The 9,041-nt window shown below is 43.2% G+C and overlaps 1 protein-coding gene across 2 annotated transcripts in view; it reads right to left on the bottom strand.

Annotated features, from left to right (window-relative positions):
* Window positions 1-8,746, bottom strand: part of HSD17B2 (hydroxysteroid 17-beta dehydrogenase 2) — a 63,282-nt gene extending 54,536 nt beyond the window's left edge. For both annotated transcript variants that reach the window (NM_002153.3, XM_047434049.1), the window contains exon 1: window positions 8,310-8,746. In NM_002153.3, the coding sequence (NP_002144.1) occupies window positions 8,310-8,574 (265 nt within the window). In that variant the 5' untranslated portion in view covers window positions 8,575-8,746. The remainder of the gene's footprint in view (window positions 1-8,309) is intronic.
* Between the last annotated feature and the right edge of the window lie 295 nt (window positions 8,747-9,041).

Genomic DNA, 9,041 nt, shown 5'->3' with positions numbered 1-9,041 from the left:
GCAGTCCACATGTTTCAAGGGCAATCATGCAAAATAATACTTTAATTAGATTATGTGACTTCCAAGAGCAGAGTTAACTTCAAGGGAAGAATAGTTCGCTCATTATAAGGAAGATATTTACAACCATTAGCATTGTATAAAAATGAAATAACTTCCACCAATAGGGGGTCAACTCCCTGTCACTGGGATTATTCAAAACCCCAGTGGATGAAATGGGATGATCCTGAAAATGGTGTTCAGGTGTTGGGAAATGGTTGGGTCTGAAATAAAGTTTATCTATATGATTTTTTTTTTTTTTTTTTTTTTTTTTTTTTGAGACAGAGTTTTGCCTTGTCGCCCAGGCAGACAGTGCAGTGGCGCGATCTCGACTCACTGCAAGCTCCGCTTCCTGGGTTCACGCCATTCTCCTGCCTCAGCCTCCCGAGTAGCTGGGACTACAGGCGCCTGCCACGGCGCCCGGCTGATTTTTTCTATTTTTAGTAGAGGCGGGGTTTCACCGTGTTAGCCAGGATAGTCTCCATCTCCTGACCTCGTGATCCGCCCGCCTCGGCCTCCCAAAGTGCTGGGATTACAGGCATGAGCCACCGCGCCCGGCCATCTATATGATTTTTATAAACCCTAAAGTGGCTGAATGATCTGTTCTTGGCTGCTCACCCCTTTCCCCCCAATATCACAAGTGACCTGAAACAAGGAGGGCAGGCCAGGGGAGACCCCTTGCATGTGGCCAGATCCTGCCTGGGGAGCCCCAGTCCCCACATTGCACTTGCTAATGGGAGGGAACATGGAAGCCTCAAAGCTCTATGTGCTCCACTAGGGAAAAGCTTGGCCCAAGACGAGCTTCTTTCTCCCCTCATCCTTCCTTGAAGGAGTCTGTGATAGCCTGAATAAGAAGACAGAGGCCCTGACAGCAAAGTAACCCACAGAAATGATGTCAAGAGATGCAACTGCATAAGCAAGAGAAAAGTTTCTTCTCTGCCTGCTCCTCTCTGCAGGAACCAGAGCAGAAGTTGGAAGCTAACATTTGGCCACAAGAATGTGTTCTGTTTGATCTATGGGATTGTTTAAAATATAAGAAAGAGACCAGATGCAGTGGCTTACACCTGTAATGCCAGCACTTTGGGAGGCCGAGGCAGGTGGATTAGCTGAGTTCAGGAGTTCGAGACCAGCCTGGCCAACATGGTGAAAGCCCATCTCTACTAAAAATACAAAATTAGCTGAGCATGGTGGTGGGTGCCTATAATCCCAGCTACTTGGGAGGCTGAGGCAGGAGAATTGCTTGAACCCAGGAGGAGGAGGTTGCAGTGAGCCGAGATCGTGCCATTGCACTCCAGCCTGGGTAACAAGACCAAAACTCCTTCTCAAAAAATAATAAATAAAATAAAATAAAATATAATATAAGAAAGAAATCATTGCCAACTTGTTTTAAATGGGAGATTTCACACACAAAGATCCACAATTTTCTATTTCCTCTTAAATACCACAAAAATGGCAAAGTGGCAATAATTGACTGGAAATAGGAAGCAGCTGCCTTCTCTAGTCATGAGGTATGTGCTCCAGTTTGCATGGAACTTACCACCCTCCACCAAGTTTTAGACACTGAGGCCAAGTGCGATAGTTCTGGCTCACGCCTGTCATCCCAGCACTTTGGGAGGCTGGGCGTGGTGGCTCACGCCTGTCATCCTAGCACTGTGGGAGGCTGGGCGTGGTGACTCATGCCTGTAATCCCAGCGCTTTGGGAGGCTGAGGCGGGAAGATCACTTGAGGTCAGGGGTTCAAGCCCAGCCTGGTCAAAATGGCGTAACCCCCTCTCTACTAAAAAATACAAAAATTGGCTAGGCATGGTTGTGGGCCCCTGTAATCCCAGCTACTCGGGAGGCTGAGGCAAGGAGAATTGCTTGAACCTGGAAGGCAGAGATTGCAGTGAACCAAGATCGCACCACTGCACTCCAGCCTGGGTGACAGAGCGAGACTCTGTGCATAAAAAATTAAAAAAAAAAAAAAGAAAAGAAAAGAAAGGGAAAAGGATCACAAGAGGAGATGATAAATTTTTTTTAAAACATGCCAAATTTAAAGTTTCAGGCTAAAATTCTGGAAATATGAGTCAGGAGCTCAGAAGAATGTCAGGTATACAAAACCACGATTTGCCAGTCCTCTCTCAGAGGAGATAATTGATACCACAGGAGCAGGTATGACTTTGCTGCTGGGTAGAGAATGCAGCCATATAAGAAGGTGGAGTAAAGACAGAGTCAGAGATTACCTTGGAGGAAGTGTAGGAAGAACCCGGAAGAGTCAAAGGACAAAGAAGCATGGAAATGCAGTTCCTGCAAGGCTAACGAGGCCATGAAAAGAAAGAAAGTATGGTCGGCAGTGCTGGAGCAGAAGTCAAGCTCTGGTGATTAGAAGGACACCAGTGACACTTAGAGAGCAGTTTCAGCAGACTGGTGGAAGCCAGTGGATGTTCTATTTGTGCCACATCCTGGGTAAGCAGGAGCACGCTTAGAACCAAATCAGCATAAAGCCTTGTCCAGGGCAAGCCAACAATTAAGTCACTACAGAACAATGGAGCTTCCAACAGCTCAGCCATGTCACTCTGCCCTTTTTATGCAAATGACCCCAGCAAAAAGAACAGCAAAGGTAAGTACCTAAGTGAGTGGGCAGATTGGGACAATCCTATTGTGTCCAACTAACGACCATGAAAAGGAGAGGACGTTTCACCCACATGGTTGGTTCACTCACTGTGCATTCGCTCATTAACACTGTGTTAGGCCTAACGTGCTGAGAGACTGAGAAGAGGCACATGGTCATAAAAAGAGACCTGGTTCCTGCCTTCAAGCCGCTTGCAGTATAGTTGGCATGGATTTCCATGCAGTCAGAATACTCCCCAGTCAAAACACTCCATCTATAATGCCTGATACAATCATTGTTCAAACTTTCACAAAATTACCCGGGTTATCAAAACCTTTTTTATGCTTCCCTGTAGTAGGTAAAGGTAAAACTTAAACCGCATGATAAGTGGGGACATTTGTTCATGTAAAAATCATCTGGTAGACTGAATTATAGACTCACTAAGGGCCATCCTTTCAACATCCACCATCACTTTGTTGCTCATGCTTCTCCAGCATCTATCTACAAATCTAACCAAGTTCTATTTCATTATTTCCAATTTCCAGTGACACTTCACTTGAACTACCCTTCACTGCTCTCAGACTCAGTTCTGAAGTCAAGCTTAGCACATGGCATGTCTCAAATCATCACCCTCTGCAAACATCCCTAGCCCTGTGTATGGTACTCTTATTTCATCATCCCTCATAAGCATCTTCTACACCCAATCAATTGCCAAGCTCTGTATTAAGCAGAGTCATGGGCACATAACAGATGTTCAATATTTACTTGTTGATTGAATGGACACGTTTTATATCCTGGGTAACCTTTGTGGTCTAATACCAACTATGGATCTAACACTTCTAATGACAGTGGTTAAGAGGATGGCTTTTGGTGAGAGATGGATCTGATCTGGGTTTAGTCCAATCTTGGCTACTTAGTAGCTCAGTGACTTTGGACGCATTTCCTTGTTTACAAATGTGAATTATTAGGGTTGTGAGAATCAAATATAAAATGCATGTAAAGGTTAGAGCACAGAGATGTTATTTCTCTTAGTCTCTTAGTCCACTGTCAATGTTTATCCATCTTAATAATCTAACGTGAAATCCAAAGGAGTCCAAACCCCAAGATGATACCCATGGTATTCAACTTGAGAACCTTATTTGGACTGTTCAGTAATTGCAAGAAGGGATGATCACTCACGTGAGACACTTTCTTGTGAGCATAAAATATTTTCACTGAAAACAGATCTTACTTCTCCTCCTGGATCCGTTCTCCAATATATCCAGTTTTGAAATTTTCAATTAAAAATTATCTAATGCAGCAAGCCTTATTGAGTGCTAGCTGTATTTGTTGTAGCTACTTAACCAATTAGGCTGGAATACCTTCTCACTTTCCCCCTAGAAAACTAATTTTAGATTCTTAACGAGGTCCCTCTTTTTTTGTCAAGCTTTCCCCAGCTCCACACACAAGACCTGTGTCTGCCTGGGATCCGCTTTGGGAATGAACCTGGAGGTTTCTTATGTGCCCCATCACACAGCCACAGTTGGGTGTGGCCGTGTCTTCCCCAGTGGTCCATGAAGCCCTGAGGTGTCTGCTCTGTACACAGTAGATGCTGAGTCGGTTCTCAATATTTGAGATGACTGGAGGGGGCAGGATGAAAGGCCAGAGGATAGAAACTTAAAGTTACCTGTGCATCTCCTGCCAAGCTTAGAGGGTAGGCTGAGAAGGACAACGTGTAACCTCAGAAGAGGGGGAAGGAACTCCAGTGAATGTGTGTCCAAGATGAAGGAAAAGTAGGAATTTTGATCCCATCGCTTGACAGTAATTTCCTGGTCTTAAAATTTTCTTCCCCCTTTGCTTCTGGAAAATGCATGGCACATACTGGGCCCTCAATGAATATTTATTGAGTGAATACATGAATGCTTCTTCTCTCTGTTTGTCAACGTTTTCTTTTGTTCTTTTTGTTCCTTCATGTTCTTCCTAACTACTCAAGCTTTCCCCTCACCACCCCAATACAGTCATTCTCTCTCTCTCTCTCTCTCCCTCTCTCTCTCTCTCTCTCTCATCTGCTAACTCCATCTATAGTAGTATAACATATGCAGGGGTGTGTGTGTGTTTGTGCGTGTGTGTGTGTGTGTGTGTGTGTATTATTTTCCATTTACAGAGGAGAAAACAGAGTCCCAAAATCCAAAACCGAGCACCAAAGTTTACACAGCTGTCCACACAGCTAGTAATAAAGATGCAGCAAATAAGATGCTATTCCCCCAGAACCCTCCCACTGTTGTGTGCATCAATCCATGGTGCACTTTGACTCCCAGCAGCCAGCACCTGCGATTCTTTCCCCAAAGGACCAGAACCCACTTTGCCAGCCAGTGTCCACATGGTGCCAGAAGTGCATGGAATTAAGTCTCCCCTCCTGCCCACAACCAAGGGGGAACAGGGGTGACTGCCCTTAACTAATGATTGACTGGTGTGAAGGCATAAAGACTACAGCTCTCTAGTCTCCAATTGGCACAGCTCTGATGAGTGATCCACACCACCCCACGTCCGCCCAGGGTGATCAAGCCCAAGTGATCTTCAGAGGACTTCTCAATGTCTCACCCTTACCTGGCTTCTTCCTTTTCCCTGCCCATCTTCTCTGGAAACCCTCCTAATAAATCTTTCCCACAAATCCTCACAGAAAGCACTGCCTCTGGGGACCTAGCCTAAGGCAAGGTAGATGCAGGATTCAAACCCAAGCCTGTGTGTCTTCAAAGTTTTTTCCCACTATGTTGTGGTTGAGATGTTATTACAATCGTGTTGGTCTGCTCTTTGTTCATTTTACAGTTATACATTTAAAATGCATCATACAACCCTGTCTCTACTAAAAATACAAAAATTAGCCCAACGTGGTAGCACGTGCCTGTAATCCCAGCTACTTGAGAGGCTGAGGCAGGAGAATCACTTGAACCCGGGAGGCAGAGGTTGCAGTGAGCTGAGATCATGCCACTGCACTCCAGCCTGGGCAACAGATTGAGACCCCATCTCAAAAAATAAAATGAAATAAAATAAAATAAAATGCATCACACATACATTTTAAATATTTGAATGGCCTCTGTGGTTTCAGGTATCTTGAAGACAAATATGTATTCAAACACTCTATGCTTGCTTACTTTTTCTTACTGTAATTATATTGTCTCTGAGGCAACAGACTTTTGAACATCTTAGCAAAATGAAATAAAGGGCTCAAAGGGGAGAAAAAAGTCATTTTTTTAAATTTGTCTTTGTAATTGCCTCTCACCTGGGTCCAAAATTAAATACAAACTAAAAGGAGCTTTAGCTGTTTTGTGTTCTCTTTTAAGTATTTTTATTGTATGAGTAATGTAATCACACCAGAGAAATTTGAAATCCAGGAGAGAAAATAACACGTAAATAGTCTAATCCAACCATTAACCAACTATTTCCTTTATAAACTATTTCCTTTCATTTACAAACTATTTCCAGCACACTAATCCAACCATATACAAACTATTTCTTCCAGCTGTTATCACAGCTTTTTGCCCAGCCCAGGAATCTATGCATTTGACGTGGCTGTAGACTTGTTCCAACCCTGGGATTTCCTGTGTGTTTTCCTTTGGCCCAAGCAGTTTTCCATGTAACACAGTCCTTGTGGCTGTCATTTTTAATGGTTGCACATTGTTATACCCAGAGGATGTACCATATATTATCACCCTTTTTGTTGCTTTTGATATTTAATATTAATCTAAATTAAATAATAAGATTGTGTTGAATGTGCCATTTTGGTTTTGCTTCTACTCTTTTTTTCATATTTCAGATTATGTCTTCAAAATAAATTTCCAAGACTTGAATTATCAGATAAAGGAACCATATGTATGGTTTTGATGTACACTGCCACATTTTTCTTTGGTCCTGCCCCACCACAATGCGTGCTAATCTATGTTATCATAAGCCAATCTGGAACAAAGGTTATTCCAAACTCAGCGTGGCTTCTTCATTCTTTAAAGAGTTGTGGTCTAACAAAATGAATTCATTTTAAATTTCTCGATTTCATACAAAGGTCTTGAGGCCTTGTCTAGGATGATATGAGCACATAGCATTCCTCATAAAAATGACAGAGAACTTGAAAATAACAAAGAACGTGAAAGTGACATTTCAGTCATCCTTAAATATATGTAGTGCTCATCTTAATTCTAAGCTTTCTTCATTGCCATAAGCATTTCATGCAGGGATTAGTCCTTGAGCTTGAGTTGCCTAATTGATTCAATCATCCTCACTCAACACTAAATGCACGGCACCTTTCAGTGGCTGATGTGGGCTCACTGAGTTGGGTGCATATTTTGTGAGCATTAATTAACACCTGCATCTTGAAATGCAGAGGATAAAGAATGTTGACAAAATAAACAAGCAAGAAGGGATTCCCATTTTCTCAGCTACCCTGTGGTTTGCCTGAGCTCATCCTAAGGTTTCATAACAGAACAGGACACAGAACAGGAAAATTGAGACTCTCTTACAAATTTCACCGATAAGCCATTTGAGAATTCTAATAAAAAAGTGGAAAATCCAGCCAGACTCCCAGATACATGATTCCAGGTGATATCAGACATTCTTGCAGATAAACATCCCATTGACTGAATTTTCTCCCTCTAAACTTTCAAAAATTAATTTAAAGAAGCTTCTTTTCTGTGGCTTGTCTAACCCCAACAAGCACCAATTTGCATTTTGTTTCAAGAAAGCATTTTACTTTAACCCAAAAACAAAGTCTGTTTCTCTGCAAATTGTCAAGCCCCAGATTTTCTCCCAACCACATCCCCATGCCATTCTTGCCTTCACCCTGAGGATCATGGTCAGAGGGGTGATGATCTCCCCCAAATGATTCCACAGCTGATTTTTTTTTTATTTGGTAGGGCTTTCTGGGTTAGGATAACGCTGGATAATCCTAATTACAGCCCTATCCAAGCTTAAACTCCATAACCAAGCAAAAATTTTACAACTCAAAGAAATTTAATTTGGCCTCACACTTGCAATGGGGAAACACACACACACACACACACACACACACACACACACACACACAAACAAGGGAAAAACTGGCAGCTCAGCTAACAGGCAACTGAATGTTGGACACGATGCCAAGTTGGTCCAATTAAGAAACATTAGAGGTCTAATGAGGAACAGTTCAGACAGGACACAAGGTTCTTGACAGCAGCCAAGCAAACTGCAAAGTCTCCAGCCCAGGTAAGTGAATCCCTTCAATATTTCAAAACAGCAAGGGACAAGTAGAACTTGGCTTGTAAGCGTTCTTGCATACCTAGGGAAGAAGAGTCCAGGTGGAGAACCTGGCCAAACAATGATGTCAGAACAAAAGTCCATTTAAGCCTAAAAAACAATCTATGGGACATTCCTGGGTACAATAGAACACATGAAATATTGCCATTTTGCCTATTAATATTTATTCCTGGGAAATTTTAACAAAATCATTGTCTGGGTGCACTTCATCCTCTCCTTCCCTCCCACTACCAGCCCCTTCAAATGCACCTCCTGGAAAAAACGGAACGAAAACAGTGTCATGAAAAATACTTGGGTGAGGGCTTTCATTTACTCCATGCCAAGTATTTTATTTTTAAGCCAGATTTGACAAAGTCCTGCTAAGGCAAAGCAAGTTTCAGATCATACCCTCAGTGAAAATTGTAGCACCGTCTGCTTACCTGTCACCAGGACTGCCTTCTGATCCACAGGTAACAATTCTTGGCCAGATAAGTAAGTATACATGAGGAAGCATGACACCGAGAAGAGGATCAAGCCCCAAAAAGGGGACAGGATGAGCAGGCAGACTGCACAGAGGCCTGCCAGGCAGACCATCCAGCTCCACAGCTGCCCTGAGCTCTTCTTGTATTTGCAAAATACTGTCCCACATAGTACTGTGGGGACAGCCAGGCAGATCCATGCTGTGTCCGAGAAGAAAGTGCTCATTCTCAGTGACTTGCTGCACCTTCAAGTGCTCAGGGCCAGTGAGTCTAGCGGGCAAAGGCTGGCTGGAGGCAGCCTGAGTTCTGTGAACAGAGAGTCAAGAAGGGAGGGGAGAAAGCAGCCCCAGCCCCTTTCAACTGAGCATAGATTAAGCATAATCATATTCCCAGTGGGTAATTTAAACCAGTGTGCACTTCAACATAAATACCAAGGCACTTCCTATTTGACCGCTCTCGCCCCTCCCCACCCCCTGCATACACAACACATGCACATACTCACCCACAAACACACACCTTCTATTTTTTTTTAATGACAGTCCACCTCTGGAGCGATGACTAACTGGATAATAATTGACAGAATTTGAACTGCATGGAGAATAACAGGAAGATCCTCTAGCTCACAGGAAAATACTGTCTTCTTCAAGAGCCTGCAGTATGTCTGGGTGCTGAGTCCTTTTTCTGACTCGGGAG

The sequence above is a fragment of the Homo sapiens genome, chromosome 16 (genome assembly GCF_000001405.40).
Source record: "Homo sapiens chromosome 16, GRCh38.p14 Primary Assembly".
Classification (NCBI taxonomy): Eukaryota; Metazoa; Chordata; class Mammalia; order Primates; family Hominidae; genus Homo; species Homo sapiens.
The sequence above is the reverse complement of the archived record's forward strand: the minus strand, read 5'-3'. Positions and strand labels throughout refer to the sequence as shown.